This window comes from Homo sapiens, chromosome 1 (assembly GCF_000001405.40).
Source record: "Homo sapiens chromosome 1, GRCh38.p14 Primary Assembly".
NCBI lineage: Eukaryota > Metazoa > Chordata > Mammalia > Primates > Hominidae > Homo > Homo sapiens.
In genome coordinates, this window is record NC_000001.11 from 220,964,615 (window position 1) to 220,982,723 (window position 18,109).

At 38.6% G+C, this 18,109-nt stretch overlaps 1 long non-coding RNA gene across 1 annotated transcript; it reads left to right on the forward strand.

Moving 5' to 3' along the window:
• The first annotated feature begins 9,758 nt into the window (after window positions 1–9,758).
• Window positions 9,759–17,800, forward strand: LOC105372930 (uncharacterized). The gene is made up of 3 exons (XR_922619.2): window positions 9,759–9,901; window positions 10,043–10,175; window positions 17,590–17,800. It is a non-coding gene; the product is annotated as an uncharacterized LOC105372930 (long non-coding RNA).
• Window positions 17,801–18,109: the final 309 nt, after the last annotated feature.

Consider the following 18,109-nt stretch of genomic DNA (forward strand, 5'->3'; position numbering starts at 1 on the left):
TGAGTTAGGACTTCAACATAGGAATTTTGGAGTGGGGACACAACTCAGTTCATAGCATTTATAAAGTAGTTGCTTTTTGAGAGAGCTGTTTGGATGGTGGCACCACAATGTCTTCTAAAAATGCAAAATCTTTGTTTTCACTGCTAAATTATATGAGTAACAGACACTCCTTATTCTCACTCCAAACCTAATTCCCAAACTATTTGCTGCTAATTTTCATTTTCTACTTAATTCATTTTTGACTTGTTTAAATTTCTTGAAAGTGCACATTATTATTATATTCAGAGAAAGAAAAAATTTAAACTCTGAAAGGCACTGGGCTCATCATTTGGGTATACCATTTGCCACCTCCTAAACTATTATTGTAAAAGAGATTAGTTATATTAAATAGAATATTTCAGATGAGAGGAGTACTTAGAGAGCAGTACCCAATTGAGAATTTCTTGTGTTGTCTAGATCTAAGAATAAGGGATTATATTTTGGTTCGAATATCCTCCACACCCATGTCTAATATTTTATTTTATCAAATCAGGACACTCATAAAAAAGAGGTGTCTATCAATTGGAAGCATAAATACTATATTAAGAAAATGTATTTAATAATTGAAAGTAACTGCAATCATTGTAAATTTGAGATGGAAATTAAAGAAAATAAATGAGTTCTCAAGGATTAAGAGATACTTTGCATAGAAAAGTTTCTGAGTTGAGTATCTGAAAACATATTGGTTTTTTATTCCATTTAGTTTGTTAGAATACCCAGCTTATTTCTCATAAAAATCCCTGATTCCGGCTGGGCACGGTGGCTCATGCCTGTAATCCCAGTACTTTGGAAGGCCGAGGTGGGTGGATCACGACGTTAGGAATTTGAGACCAGCCTGGCCAACATGGTGAAATCCCATCTCTACTAAAAATACAAAAAATTAGACGGGCATGGTGGCGCATGCCTGTAGTCCCAGCTACTCAGGAGGCTGAGGCAGAAGAATCGCTTGAACCAGGGAGGCGGAGATTGCAGTCAGCCGAGATTGTGCCACTGTACTCTAGCCTGGGTGACAGAGTAAGACTCTGTCTCAAAAAATAAATAAATAAATAAATAAATAAATAAATAAATTAATTAATTCCTAATTCCTGTCCCTCCCCCAGTCTCATTCACAATCCCTAACCCAAGGGAGTGTGATTGGTGGTGATAAGGTGAGGTGTGTGTTGAATGGGGCTCAGGGATCTGGGAATGATAATTTCCCAAGGAGAATACGGGCGCTGGTACAGAAGAAGGGAGAATGGTTCGGTTGTTGGGTGGTCAAAACACAGCTGATCATCAGAGTGTCTTTTTCTCCTATACTTGTATGTTGAGATTTTTTTCCACTTTAAGGCCTAATAAATGCTGCCTTTTCAATGCAATCTTCCCTGATACTTTCTATTCACTCCTCAAAACAGAATTCATCTGTCTCCTTTATTTATTTATTTATTTTTGCTTCTAAAGCAGTTTATTGATATGTTTGTCACAGAATATTGTTTTCTCCCTTGGATTAGTGTTCTTATTCAAAAACATTCTTATCTCTGGTATTAAGAGCAGCTGGAAAACCACGGCACTGTGTTATTTCTCACTCCTCCCCCAGTAAGGCCTAAAAACGATTACATTAAAATGCATCTGACCCCCTTTTCCCCACAAGCAGCATATGGAGCTGCTCTCAGGCTTAGACCAGGCGGAGGTCTGAATCTTCCTGAGTATTTACAGTTGTAAGACTGGTGGAGAGAAATATACATTTCTTCCCTCTGCATCTCCAAACTAGTTTGGCTTAGTAGTGAAGCTTCTACCCCTTAAATTTATACCAAAAAAAAGAAGATGGCTCTTGAAAACGCTTTCTATAAAGCATATTTCTTTATCAGAATTACTTGGGGATTTAGTCAAAAGTGGAGACTTCAGGGTCTCACCTCATGCCCTCAATCAGAATCTTTGTTGATGCTTTCTTTTAATGGCTATACATATTGATGTCTAGCTTATCAGTTCTAAGATCTACAGTGTCAGATACCAAGAGGAGTTATTCAATGACACATTCATTGATTTTTGTGTTATGTGACTATCTCTGAGTAAGGGAGGAAAAGTGCCACTAAATAGAAGAGACTTTTGTACAGGAATTCCAAGGGATTGTCTAAAAGCTGAATAATACCTGTAATTAGACTCTTAGCAAAGATGCCCATTTCTATCCACATTGCCAGATCTCTAGAAGTTTTGTATGGCACTTCAGGAGAGGGCTCCAACACCCAGACACTTCATGTGTCTGGTAAGTTTTTGGTTCTTGTCAGTTGCTCATTTCTCTCCCAGTCACCTCTGGGAGTGTCAATGGCTTATCTCACTCTGCAGTGGCGGCCCCAAATGCAGGCTGCAGGTCACCCCGGCTTATCACCACTTTACATGGCTTCTCCAAGCAAATGGTGAGCCCTACTTGACTTGGGCCAAGAGCTGTATTGATTATTAACTACAGAAAAACATCTGGTTTTCATTATTCGTGGTAGCAGACCAGAGCGGGGTGCTGTGCTGGCTGGTGTGGTCACTTAACAACCATCAAGACTAGCTATAAAGAAAATTTAACATATCCTGTAATTACAGTCTGCCAAGCACAGAGGGGAGGAGGAATCTGCAGATCTGATTTCAGGACAAGAGAAAATGTTTATTGTATCTGTTCCACACATTTATTTACTCAGAGGTCAGGAGGCTTGTTGAAATATGGCCGCTGGGTACTGACGCTCCTGCAGCAGCAGAGCGCCTTCTTGTTTAGGTCAGGAAGCTTCAGTGTGGCTCCAGGCGGATGGTCCCTTAATGCTTTTACAGGCTTTGGAATTTGGGCTGATGGAAAAGGATGGGTGGATCTTGTCTGGAATAAACAATCCTTCTCCCACACAGTGCTGGGTGCCCTCCCCTGGGGCTCTTCTCAACCTTCTGGAGGCTGCCTTCAGGGGCTTTTCCAACTGCTCCCTTCCCACTCCCTGGCAAAGGGTGACTGGGACAGTGAATTAGCACTTATTGCTCATCAAATATGTGCCACGCAAGTGCTGGGTGATTTGAACACATTTTCGTTTCTACTCCTCACAGTTCCCTGTGAGTTAGACATTATTATTCTCATCTATAAAATGAAACTGAGGTGGGGCATTGTGGCTCATACCTGTTATCCCAGAACTTTGGGAGGCAGAGGTGGACAGATCACTTGAGGCCAGGGGTTCAAGACCAGCCTGGCCAACATGCTGAAACCCCGTCTCTACTAAAAATACAAAAATTAGCTGGGCTTGGTGGTGTGGGCCTGTAATCCCAGCTACTCGGGAGGCTAAGGTAGGAGAATTGCTTGAGCCCAGGAGGTCCAGGCTGCAGTGAGCCCAGATCACACCCCACCTTCACTCCAGCCTAAGTGAGAGAGCGAGACTGTCTAAAAAAAAAAAAAAAAAAAAGAAGAAGAAACTGAAGCTAAGAGCTAAGAGTTGTTAAATTGGAGGAAGCAGTGGTTCCTTCCAGGACATAAAGGAAGAGTGCAACCACCCTACTGTCTTTCCAGAGCAGAAAAATGGAGATGCAGCAGTTTTTTTTTTCCAGACTTATGTTTAGAAGTTTTTTTTCTCACAGAATTTTTGACAGAGTGACCTCTGAACCAGTGGGTTAGAGAATTGGATTGACAATTCCCAGATGTATTCAGGAATAGGAACTGTAAAAAGCAAGTAAACCGAGCACCCCAACTTTCAAGGGTATTAAACTCTAAAATTGAGCTATCTATGTAGAAATAGGAGTAAACTACAAGCTAAGAGATTATCAAATACAAAATGGCAACCCCAGAAAACAGGTGAAGCCAGTGTTGGATCCATACATCAAAGGATGGCAGTGTGTGAAGGAGGAGGGGTGGGCAGGGCTGGTCTTAAAACTCTGAATTGAAGAAGGGGGAGTCTTTTAACTTCTCTTTTCCATTCTTTTGACCCCTAAGTCCCTTTAACTGTCTCTTCTTTCCCTTATCAAATGCTACCCATAGGAAAAGATGAGATGAATTTATTCAAACAGAAGCTTAAGCAGTTGAACTAATTTACACTCTCACTAACAGTGTAAAAGCGTTCCTATTTCTCCACATCCTCTCCAGCATCTATTGTTTCCTGACTTTTTAATGATTGCCATTCTAACTGGTGTGAGATGGTATCTCATTGTGGTTTTGATTTGCATTTCTCTAATGGTCAGTGATGATGAGGATTTTTTTTATGTTTGTTGGCTGCATAAATGTCTTCTTTTGAGAAGTGTCTGTTCATATCCCTCACCCACTTTTTGATGTTTTTTTTTTTTTTCTTGTAAATTTGTTTAAGTTCTTTGTAGATTCTCGATATTAGTCCTTGGTCAGATGGATAGATTGCAAAAATTTTCTCCCATTCTGTAGGTTGCCTGTTCACTCTAATGATAGTTTCTTTTGCTGTGCAGCTCTTTAGTTTAATTAGATCCCATTTGCCTATTTAGGCTTTTGTTGCCATTGCTTTTGGTGTTATAGTCATGAAGTCTTTTCCCATGCCTATGTCCTGAATGGTAGGTTTTCTTCTAGGATTTTTATGATTTTAGGTCTTACAATTAAGTCTCTAATGCATCTTGAGTTAATTTTTGTATAAGGTGTAAGACAGTGTGGCAATTCCTCAAAGATCTAGAACTAGAAATACCATTTGACCCAGCCATCCCATTACTGGGTATATACCCAAAGGATTATAAATCATTCTACTATAAAGACTCATGCACACGTATGTTTATTGCGGCACTGTTCACAATAGCAAAGACTTGGAACCAACCCAAATGCCTATCAATGATAGACTGGGTAAAGAAATTGTGGCACATATACACCATGGAATACTATGCAGCCATAAAAAAGGATGAGTTCATGTCCTTTGCAAGGACATGGATGAAACCATCATTCTCAGCAAACTAACACAGGAACAGAAAACCAAACACTGCATGTTCTCACTCATAAGTGGGAGTTGAACAATGATAACACATGGACACAGGGAGGGGAACATCACTACTGCCTGCAGAAATTTTCCTACTCTCCCTCTGACCATTTCAAAGAAGGTAAAGCTAGGGAATGGGAACGCTGGCATGAATATGCTGTGGACCTGCCACATGGTGTATGTACATGGGAGAAGAGGGGTTACCATTTTAGTTTGGGAAGTAAAGGGTTCTTTCAACTTTGTCTTTTTCATATTAGTAGTTATGAAAAGTTCAGAATCCCTGAAATTTTTATACCAGTAAACAGAAAAAAAAATCGAAGGAGTAATAATGACGTTTTTTATGCTTTCAAATTCTTCAGATTTTTGGAGGCTGCTGTAACAATAAATAGAAGAAAATTTATAGCCTATAAATATCTAGGATATTCTGGTTAAGCATGATGATTTTTTTCTGAAATTTTACTAAATTTATAATAAAGGAATAAAAAAGGATAAACCAAGAAGAGAAAAGAAGAGATAAAAGCAAAATTTCGAAGCTGGAAAGTGAATAAACCAGTGTGGCAAATTACTTTGCACTTTGGAGTTGAAAACTCAATGCCTGTAGGCAGGAAGGACCACTAAGAAGTGAGCTGCACAACCTTGGAAGGAACCCCAAATCAAAGGCAGCAGTATAGACGCAAAGACCTGGATCCTCTTCATCAACCTTGGCAGCCTGGCCCCTCTCCTAGCTTCTGGACCACGGAAAGTTCATTCTCAGAAGAGACTGAAAGAAAAAGGTCCTGGATTCAAGAACACTAGGAATGGTAGAGGAAGGAATATCAGAAAACAAGAGGGTTAAGTGAAATTTACATACCGACCATTGATACTCCAGCTCCCTTCCTGAAGCAGTTCTTGGAATGTGAACAGCCAGAGTTATACCCTCCTGGCAGGAGATTGGATGCTTTGTTCCTGGGGAAACTTGCCAAAAAAGATCTAAAAATACATTAAAGTTTCCCAAGGAAACAATCAGGTCTCCACCTACAAGGAAGCTCACTCACTAGTTGAGAAGACTTTTTTTCTTTTCTTTTCTTTTCTGTTTTTTTTGTTTGTTTTGTTTTGAGACGGAGTTTAGCTCTTTCGCCCAGGCTGGAGTGCAGTGGCGCAATCTTGGCTCACTGCAACCTCTGCCTTCCGGGTTCAAGTGATTCTCCTGCCTCAGCCTCCCAAGTAGCTGGGATTACAGGTGCCCGCCACCATGGCTGGCTTATTTTTGTATTTTTAGTAGAGATGGGGTTTTGCCATGTTGGCCAGGCTGGTCTCGAACCCCTGACCCCAGGTGATCCGCCTGCCTCGGCCTCCCAAAGTGCTGGGATTACAGGCGTGAGCCACTGCGCCTGGCCTAGTTGAGAAGGCTTTCATGCAAAAAATGCTTCTGAATAATATTTTAATAATTCACTTTTACATAGGAATTTATAGTCAAGGATCACCAGCATGTGAGGAATGCCTCCATGGTGAAAATAGAAACCTTAATTAATGTAACAACAACAAAAAACCCAGAAACTCAGAGAAGGAAAGACAATACAGGGAACAGAAACAAACTGAAAACAAAACAAAACAAAACTCTCCCAAATAATTAATATTTTCAGAAATATAAAAAGATAGTATGAGGGAAAAACACAATTACACTTAAAAGAAGAAACATTCAGAGAACAGAAATAACTTTCGCAAGTTAAAAAGCAGAATAAAGTAACCAATATAATAGGTGGAAAATAAAGTTAAAGAAATTAAGCAGATGGTTGAAAAATGCGAGAGAAAAGATAAGAGAATGAAATGCTCAGGCGAGAAACTGATAGGACTTCTAAAAAGAAAGAACAGAAAAAACAGAAGGGAGGAAATTATCTAAGAAATAACACCACCCATGGATACGAATTTCTGAATTAAAAAGGCTCACTGAGTGCAGATTAAAAGGACACATACTAAGAAGATCATTTGTGAAATTTCAGCACTGGGAACTTAGAGAAGATCCTAAAAACTCTGACAGAGAAGAAATAAAAGGAGGAAGAAGACGAAAAGAAAATCAGGTCTGTATTAGTCAGGACTCTCTAGAGGGACAGAACTAATGGAATATATATATATATTTATATATATAGGGAATATATATATATTTATATATAGGGAATATATATATTTATATATAGGGAATATATATATATAGGGAATATATATATTTATATATAGGGAATATATATATTTATAGGTATAAGGAATATATATATGCATATATATGGGAGTTTATTAAGTATTAACTCACACGATTAACTCACATGATTAAGTATTAACTCACACGGTCACAAGGTCCCACAATTGGTCGTCTGCAAACTGAGGAACAAGGAATCCAGCGTGAGTTCCAAAACTGAAGAACTTGGATTCAGATGTTCGAGGGCAGGAAACATCCAGCATGGGAGAAAGATGTAGGCTGGGAGGCTAGGCCAGTCACTCTTTTCACATTTTCTGCCTGCTTATATTCTAGCTGTGCTGGCAGCTGATTAGATTGTGCCCACCCAGATTAAGGGTGGGTCTGCCTTTTCCAGCCCGCTAACTCTAATGTTAATCTCCTTTGGCAACACCCTCACAGGTACAGTCAGGATCAATACTTTACATTCTTCAATTCAATCAATTTGACACTTAGTATTAACCATCACATGTCATACCCAAAGAACTGGCAATCACTGTGGCATCAGGCTTCTCAAAAACAAAGGAAAGCAAAGCAGAGTGAAGGAACACCTCCATGACATTCTATGCCTATCCAAACTATCAGCCAAGCAGGAATGTAGAATGAAGACACGAAAAATCTCAAAAAATTTACCTCCACGTTTTATCTGTTATCCATCAATGGGCATTTAGGTTGTTTCCACATCTTGGCTATTGTGAATAATGCTACAATGAACAACAAATGTGGGAGTGCAAATATCTCTGCAACATACTTATTTCAGTTCTTTTAAATATATACCCAGAAGTGCTGCATCATAAGACACTTATATTTTTAATTTTTTGAGGACCTTCCATATTGTTTTCCATAGTGGGTACACCATTTTATATTTCCACCAACAATGTACAACGTTTCCAATTTCTCAACATTCTTGTCAAAACTTATTTTTTAAGAAATAATAACCACCTTCTGTGGGCTAGATATTTGTGTCTCCTGACCCCTAAAATTTATATGTTGAAGCCTAAATCCTTAAATACCATGTGATAGTGTTAGAAGGTGGGGCCTTTGGGAGGTAATTAACCCATAAGGATAGAGTCCTCCTTAATGGGATTAGTGCCCTTTTAAAAGGAGGAGGAGACACAGGGTTTCTCTGCTCTCTGCCATGTGAGGATATAATAAGAAGACGACCATCTCTGAACCAGGATGTCCTTACCAGAAATTGAATATGCTGGCATCTTGATCTTGCATTTACTAACCTCTAGTACTGTGAGAAACAAATTCCTGTTGTTTATAAGTCACCCAGTCTATAGTACTTTGTTATAGCAGCCTGAACTGACTAAGGCACCATCGTAAACAGGTGTGAGATATCTCACTGTGATTTCATTTGCATTTTCCTGTGGTACATACATGCAATGGAATATTATTCAGCCTTAAAAAAGAAAATCCTGCTATGTGGAACAACATGAATAATCCTTGAGGACATAATGTATGCCAAGTGAAATAAGTTAGTCACAGTAGAATAAATACTGCATTATTCCATTTATATGAAGTATCTAATATAGTCAAACACATAGAAGCAGAAGAGTAGAATAGTGGTTACCAGGGGCTGGAAGTGGGGGAAGTGAGAGTTACTATTCAATGAGTATAATGGTTCAGTTAAACCAGATGATTAAGTTCTAGAGATCTGCTGTACGACATTTGCTCATGGTGGACAACACTATATTGTATGCATACTTAAAAATTTGTTAAGAGGCAATGAGAACACATGAACACAGGGAGGGCAACATCACACTCCAGGGCCTGTCAGGGGGTAGGGGGAAAGGGGAGGGAGAACATGAGGACTAATACCTAATGCACTTGGGGCTTAAAACCTAGACGATGGGTTGACAGGTGCAGCAAACCACCATGGCACATATATACCTATGTAACAAACCTGCATGTTCTCCACATGTATCCCAGAACTTAAAGTAAAAAAAAAATTGTTAAGAGGGTAGATCCTATGTTAAATATTCTTACCAGAATTAAAGTACAAAAGAAAAACAAAAAAATTATTACAATGATCTCTTTCACAGGAAGCCATTGGTAGTGGTGTTTCTCTAAAACAAAAGGGTAACCCCCCAAAATTAAATAAGAAATACAAGAACTGTGAGGGAGAGAGAATTCCAAAAAATTGTGAAGGAAATTGTGAAGGAAGATTGAACATTAAGTCACTTCTGCTGAGAGATGGAAAGCAACCAACACAGATTGAGCAGAAGGCTGGGAGGATGCAGAAGGCTGGGAGGATCCAGAAGGGAGATCATTGAGGAAAACATGAAAGTAATAGATGACGCAGTATGTTTGTCTGAAAAATTGAGACTATGAAAGAAAATTAGTGATAAACACACAGAATAATAAGGAAGGAAAAAATGAGACAATTATTGACTCTAGGGAAACAAATCTGTACAAAAATAGAAATACAATTGCAATGTACAAAATGGCTCTCCTGTGAATAATATCCATATATTCATAATATAAAAATTGAATATTGATAAAAATATAACTACTATATTAGCTTCCTATTGTTATGTAACAAATCACTCCAGATTTAGTAGTCTAAAACAATACTCATTTATTAGCTCATAGTTCCGTAGGTGAGACGTTCAGGCACAGAGACTCACTGGACTTTCTCCTCAGAGTCTCGCAAGGCTCAAATCAGAGAATCAGCTGGGTTGTCTTCCTTTTTGGAGGCTCTGGGGAAGAATCCAATTCCAACTTCATTCGAATGGTTGGTAGAATTCATTTTCCAATGTTTGTAGAAATGAAGTCTTTATTTCCCTGCTAGCTGTTGGCTGAGGACTGCTCTCAGCTCCAAGAGACTGCCCCCCTCCATCAGGTGTTCACAACATGAGTGTCTGCTTTCTTCCAGGCTAGCAGGAGTGCATTCTTGTCTCATTCTTTTGTTCCTAGCCAGAGACAACTTTCCTTCTAAGTGCTCATGTGATTAGGTCAGACCCAGTTGAATATTCTCTCTACCACTGAAAGTGGGAAAAAAAAGACATGTAAGTATATGTTTCAAAATATAAAGATATTAATAATTATCTGAAGAAATATTTTAAAAATGGTTGCCTATGGGGAGTAAGCTTCAGGAATGGGGTAGTATGGAACAGTAGATGCCATTTTCTGTGATATGCCTTGAATATTGCTATATTTTACTGAATCTAAGGTTTACTGATTGTATGGTCCATTCTGATTTTGGGGATATTAAAACCTGAGAAATGTGATTTGCCTTATATAGACTATATATGTATTTTATATATATGTAAACACACACACACAAACACACACACACACGCTCTCTCTCTTTCTGAATAAAATAAAAATTAGGAGCAAACCAAAATCAGATCAAAGGAATGATCTCTTTCATTCCCTTGAGTGAGGAAAGTGTGTCCTGGTTTTGAGTGAGTTAGTGTGTCCTGGCCTGGTGCAGAATGTGAAGAACATTCAAAATAATCAAAATAATCTAAGGCCTTCCATGGGTGTCAAAAAAGTCCTTTAGAACATAAATATACATAAGGAAGGTTTAAGAAAAATAGTAACCAGAAGTATGAATGCATAACCCATCATTAACATATAATAAAGTAATAAATATAACATATTTTATATAAACTAATACATCTAATACATATAATATATGCAAATCTAACATATGCAAAAATAAAAATAATAAATACATTTGCATTTGCAAGCTATGGGTCAGTTCCTGTGTTAAGGTAAGTTGGTGGCAGATTCTTTGCCACCAAGTACCTCATAGTCCAGCAGATTATAAAAACTGGGTAGGAACTACAATAAGCCAACTGCCAGACTGGAGGAAATGGCTTGATATAGTTGGAACAATGGGTGAGTGAAGGATAGCTGCGGTAAAAAGTGTTGGAAGGCAGTATCTTTTCAATAATATTTTCTATAATAATTGATGTCTGTATATTTTCTTAGATTAGTCAAGTTTTAATTACCTGATTCAGTCCTTAAAATGCTCATTGCTAAGATATCCAAATATTTCTGATCTATGGATGTTGTCAGTGTTCAGTTTAGGGCTGTGTTTTTGATAGTTACTTCCATCATTTCCTACCATCTTAGTAGGAATCAATTCCTACCATCAATTCCTACCATCTTAGTATAGATTTGATATTCTCAATACTCCTTAAAGTCTTCCAGAGAGATATTCATTATAATTTTATGATGGTGAATAAGAAGAAAAATAATAAGAATACAAATCTTTTATATTTGTCAATGTAAGTATTATTTTTGGTGCACTTCATTCCTTTGTGTAGATTCAGATTTCCATCTGGTATCATTTTCTTTCTGCATGAAAATGCAGAAGGAAAATTGCAGTGTCAGAAATTCTTCAGCTTTGGTATGCCTAAAACATTTTAATTTCATTTTTGTTTTTTAAAAAATATTTTTGCTGAATATAGGATTCTTGATTGACAATTTCCATTTCTTTTAGTAGTTTAAAAACTGTAATGCATTGCTTAATGACAGGGGTATGTTCTGAGAAATGTGTGATTAGACAATTTTGTAGTTGTGCAAATGTCACAGTGTGTACTTACATAAACCTACGTGGTATGGCCTGCTACACACCTAGGCTATTTCGTATAACCTATTGCTGCTAGGCTACAAGTCTGTATGGCATCTTACTGTGCTAAATACTGCAGGCAACAGTAACACAGTGTCAACTATGTTTGTATGTAAACAGAAAAAGTGCAGTAAAATATAAACTGTATAAAAGATAAAGATGGTACACCTATACAGGGTACTTACTATGAATGAAGCTTGCAGGACTAGAAGCTGCTCTGGATGAGTCAGTGATTAGGTGGTAAATGAATGTGAAGGCCTAAAACATTACTGTACAATACTTCAGACTGCAAACATTGTATGCTTCGGCTACACTAAATTTATTAAAACGTTTTCTTTCTTCAATAATAAATTAACCCAAGCTTGCTGTACCTTTTTAAATTTATAAACTTTTTAATTTTTTAAAACTTTTCGACTCTCTTGTGATAATACTTAGCTTAAAAATAAATACATTGCACAGCTGGACCAAAATATTTGCTTTCTTTACGCCCTTTTTCTATAAGCTTTTTTCTATTTTTAAAAGTTTTTAATTTTTATTTTCACCTCCATATGTGGTAGCCTGGAAACTCTCTCCAGGAATTAAGTGGAACCACTGTAGAGCTTACTTTGTTTGTTCCTCATACCTTCAGGATCACTTTCCTTCATTGCCTGGTGACCGATATTTTGAAAACTGTTGTTTCATATTTGTTCTGTTTATAAGTTTTTTCATGTAAGAAGATAAATGCAGTCCCTGTTACTCCATCTTGGCTGGAAGTAAAAGTCAATTTATTGTATTTAAGTCACAGTTTGCTACATTTTGGTAAAAGAAAGCTGTTGCCATGTCTTGTAACATCAAATATCACTTCTGGGTGGTTCAGTTCTTCCTTAAAGCGTTTGAATTGATTAGTTCCATGAGCTCAAACATTTAAAAAAATTGTTAGAATTGGCTGGGCACGGTGGCTCATGCCTGTAATCCCAGCACTTTGGGAGGCCGAGGCAGGCAGATCACGAGGTCAGGAGATAGAGACAATCCTGGCTAACACGGTGAAACCCCGTCTCTACTAAAAATACAAAAAATTAGCCAGGCATGGTGGCGGGCGCCTGCAGTGCCAGCTACTCGGGAGGCTGAGGCAGGAGAATCACTTGAACCGGGGAGAAGGAGCTTGCAGTGAGCCGAGATCATGCCACTGCACTCCAGCCTGGACGACAGAGTGAGACTCCATCTCAATAAATAAATAAATAAATAAATAAATAAATAAATAAATAAATAAATAAATTGTTAGCATTCATTGGCAGAAGCTTTGGCTTACTTACCATTTTATTGACTTGTTCTTCCCCTGTGCCCTGTCCCCTGTGCTGATTGGTGAGAATTAAGATATTTGGCAGTGAGGACATGGGATTGTTGAATTCACTATTTTAAATAGTTTGAGGTCAGTAAAATAAAAATTAAATAAATTGATCTTAAACACTGTGCTTTCTTTAACACAAAATGCTCTTTTTGATGGTATTTTTTATAAGCCATCGGGTCAATTTATTAAGAAACTCAACATTTTAAAAAAATTGCTCAAATAAAGGAGCCAACCTATTCTATGTATATAAGAGAGAAAAGGATAAAGCTGTATATTAGAGCTGCTAATATAGCAGTAGAGAAGAAAACTCACACAGCCCTGAAAGAAAGATTCATTCTGTAAGTGACAGTGTTTAATATTTCATGAATCTGTTGCAAATATATTGCTACCACCACTGCTATAGGCCTGCCTCGAGAGGTCAGATCTCCTGGGTGTGACTTTATTTTGGTGCCCCCCATGATCCCTTGGTCCTTATACCTTGTCCTTTCTTTCTGTTTTCTACATGATTATCACGAAGTCTAAATATTCATTTCCAAGTTTTGCTGATAGAACAAAGGAGGGCTACCAATTAGCTCTTGCTTCTAAGTCTTACAAGACTTAGTGTGTTGAGGTGCTCAACTCTGATCACTTTCTAACTAGTCAAGTTGTAAGTGTTGGGCCTGCCTGAGAATGGACTTGATTTCCTCTAGGCAGAACATTTTCATGGAAGAATAAGGTTTTCAGCCATTGATATCTGGAGCCTGCCATAGCTGATAGGAAAGTCATCTCTCTCTCCAAATCTAAGAGATGGCAGCTGTATCTATAATGTAGACAAAGAACTCAAGGGCCTGCCTCAGAACAAGTGAACTCCAAACAGTTTCTACCTCAATTTTCATATTCCTGGCTCTTTGCTTGTAGTTTAACTAAATAGTAGGACATATGCCTTTGTATGGAATTGTGATATACATATCATTCCAATGGAGTTTTCCTTTTAGAAACTGTTTGAAATAATATAGCAAAGATTTGGGGAAGTGACCTGGAAGAGCAGTCAATCTGGCTAAATAACAAATCAAGAAGCTTTATATGTAGATTTCAAAATATGAGATTAAGATGTTAAAACTTTTGCCCTTTGTAATAATAATCTCATCCAAAGCATTTGGTCTCAGCATCTGCTTGTGTGAAGCACTCTGGGTGATCCCTTACAAGGGAGGTAAATACAACCTGTGTTATCAATGCATATTAGATTAATCCTTGCTGCTATAAATTATCTTTCTCCTTTAGGTACTATGTAGGGATGAATAAAGGAATGAATACTTTGGTAATATTTTAAAAGATAAATGCCAGCCATGTCAAGAAAGTCATCTAACATAATCTCACTACTAAACTTAAACTATTTTTATTGAGGTCATAAAAAATCTTCCAGTTATATCCAGAGATTTTCTGCAGATCTCATTTTTCTTGTCTTATCTGCCTGCCTTTGCCATTGTTGATCATTGTCTCCATTTTACAACTTGGGTTTATGATGCCACTGTTTCCTAGTTCATTTTTAATTATTTTGGCATTCCTTTTCAGTCTCCCTTGACAGTTTATTGTTACCTTCCAGTCCTAAGGTTCCTATCATCAGGTTACTTCTCTTGCTACATTCTTCTTTCTTCCTGGGCAATCTAGCTAGGGCTGTTGGTCCAATTATTCCTTGTGCATGAGTGACTCCCTTCAGCTCAAAGTTCTCTCTTGAGTTTCAACTCACATATACATTCACCTGATAGAAATACATTTACTCAGAGTCCCACAGACTTTCCTAACCCAACAACACCGAATCTGAACACTTCATATTCTTCTCCAAACTCATTTCCCTTTTTGGGTTCCAACCCTTAGCGAATGAGGCCACCATTTGCTAAATGTTCATGATGGAAACCTATGAGTCATAATAAATTTCTCTTTTTTTCTTTTTGTTGCCCCATCTACTCGTCAAGTCTATTAAATTCTATGTCCTGAAATATCTCTTCTATCATTACTTCCCTAGTTATATAGAAGCAGGGATATTGCAATAGCCTCCTTCTTACTGGCCACATGACTTTTATTCACTTTCCCTGAAATTATCTTCCAAAGCCTAGGGTTCTTCTAATCCCAACAAACCCAACAAACAGATCTTATATTACTTCTCTGCCCCAATTCTTCCATGATTCCTTTACTAACAAAACGAAATCTAATCTTTTCTTCATGATCTGATCTTTTCCTATCTGTCCCACTTTTTCTGTCATTATCCGCCCTTGAATTTACTTTTTAAGCATGGTGACTTGCAGATGATTTATCAAGAAAGAATAAATGGATTAAAGCAGTCCTCCAAATAAATATGCCATGCTTGCTCACTTGTTTCCATACGCATACTGTCCCTGCTGCCTGAATGCTTTGGTGCACTCTCCTCTTTCATGACATCTTCCCTAATGTCCCCCCATGCCCCAGGCAGATGGCAGCATGCTTCCTTTGCTTCTACAGCACTTAGCAGCCCCTCCAGGAGAGTAGTGACCATCCTGCAGTATAATTGTTGGTTTGCTTCCCTGTCTTTCCAATAGACTGTAAACATTTGCAGGCTGGGGACACTGAGTTTCCTTCTTTGTAACCTCCAGGGCTTAATACAGTGCCTGTGCATAACAGGTGTTCAGTAACTATTTTCTGGGTGACAGCATGCTTTATCAATAATTAGAGGGTAGAAATCTTTCATCCTTTTTTGGTGGATTAAATCCTAACCAAAATTTTTTAAAATAAGTGACTCCTGGTGAGGAGTAGAGAAGAGTGGCAGCCACTTCCCTGTTGTTTGATGCTAAGATGGGAGTGGGGCAAACCTGGAACCACTTCCTCTCACCATTCCTAAGAATTGCCACCAACCCTGACCATCCTTTTCCTCCTCTGTATTTTGGCTGTCTTTGGTTTTTGAGGACAAGATAGGAGAAGATGAACAAGAGATGAGAGAGAAGTTATGAGGTGTCTTGAGGATGTTTCTAACTAGTCAAAGTGGAAAATGAGATCCACAGCTTCCAGAGGGAGGGTGACACGAGTGTCCTGACTCCTGGGCTTGTCTGCCCGTGTGTCTAACTTAAAACAGAAATATGCTTTTCTTGACTAAATGCTCCCTAGCACCAGCTGTGTGATTTGCAGGGCCCATTGGTCATTGAAAATGTGAGCCCCTTGTTAGAAATTTACAAAGAATTTTAAGATGGTGACAACAGAGCATTAATCCAAGTGTGGAATCCTCCTGAGTGTGGGGCTCTGTGGGACTGCACACTGAGAAGGTGGCCTTGATACTCCCGGATGGATGTTCCAAGTAGCTGGCTTTGGTGATGAGCTTCTTTTAATTATTTGTTTATTTAGAAGTTCTTACAAAATCTTCTGGACATTCATAAAAGGATAAAGAAAAATAGAGATAGTGATATACCCATCATCAGCTCAAGAAATAAATGATGACAAATACACTGGAATTACTTTGTGTATCACTTTCTCCCCAGAAGTAACTAATATTCTGATGAACTACAGGAGTTTATCACTTTCGTACATGTCTATACTTTTTTTTTTTTTTTGAAACAGTCTCTCTCTTTTGCCCAGGCTGGAGTGCAGTGGCGTGATCTCGGCTCACTGCAACCTCTGCCTCCCATGTTCAAGCGGTTCTCGTGACTCAGCCTCCTGAGCAGCTGGGATTATAGGTGCCCACCACCATGCCTGGTTACTTTTTTTTTTTTTTTTTTTTTTGAGATGGAGTCTCGCTCTTGTCGCCCAGGCTGGAGTGCGCGATCTCGGCTCACTGCAACCTCCGCCTCTGGGGTTCAAGCCATTCTCCTGCCTCAGCCTCCTGAGTAGCTGGGATTACAGGCACCTGTCACCATGCCCAGCTAATTTTTTGTATTTTTAGTAGACATGGGGTTTCACCATTTTGGCCAGACTGGTGTCGAACTCCTGAGCTCAGGTGATTTGCCTGTCTCGGTCTCCCAGAGTGCTGGGATTACAGGCATGAGCCACTGCGCCTGGGCTACATGTCTATACTTTGATTGTCTATCCCTAATAAAGATGAATTTTAAAGCAATGCATGAGGAATTTTTCTTTAGGCAACTGAATGAGGGACTGAATCCTGGGAGGCCAGGATTAAGCAGCTCCAAATCGCTGCAATAAGAGAATCCTGGTTTATTAGTTCTTTGCATTTTTACCCATTGTTTATATTTTTCAGCTCACATCTACCTTTCTTCTTGCCCTTTGTAAACTCTGTAAACAATTCCCCTCCTGCAGATGTGTCTTCTTCCAATTTATTTACCACTTGCTTCTTTTGCAATGAGAAGCACTGGAGTCCCGGCTCCAGGTCCAGCTTCCCTTCTCCCCTGCGCTATGCTGGGGTGCAGTGCTGGGATTTAACTGGTCAATTGAGTTGTCTTTTTTTTTTTTGATGTTTTAAGTTCAGCAGAATCCAGGGACCTAGGAAAGCAGGAAACAGGGCTCCTGGGAGATAGAATACCTGTCAGAATTAAAAAGATATATATTTAACAACTAGAATGAAGAGGACTCAGAGATGAATATGCAGCAAAAGCGACATTTGAGAGCTATGAAGAAGGACTTTGGGGGAACAGAAAGTTGTGTTCAAGCCATACAACTCCATGGAGGGATTAACACAGCAGGAAATATGATGAACATTTTGCCAAAAATGAGGGTGTGGCCTGTCAGAGTGGGCACTTGGCATCTGGAGTTGTCCCACATGATTATAATAATTAAAAAAATTAATAGTTTGTATATTCTCCCTGCCTTCAAAAAATTAAAATCCTTTCAAACCTTGCACATCCTCCAGATGACTATTGGAAACTGTGTAGAGCTTAGTGATAATAAAGAAAGACCATTCATATTGTGAATGGCTGGGTTTTCTATCTTTAAGGATTTATCTGCATAGCAGCAGACACAGTGGGGCTCAGACAAGGACTTCAGGGACCGACTTTGGCAGGTCTTTGATCTGAACTGACTGAAACAAAAGAAACCGACACTTCCCTAATTACCTGACCAGATACCTTAAGCAGCAACAC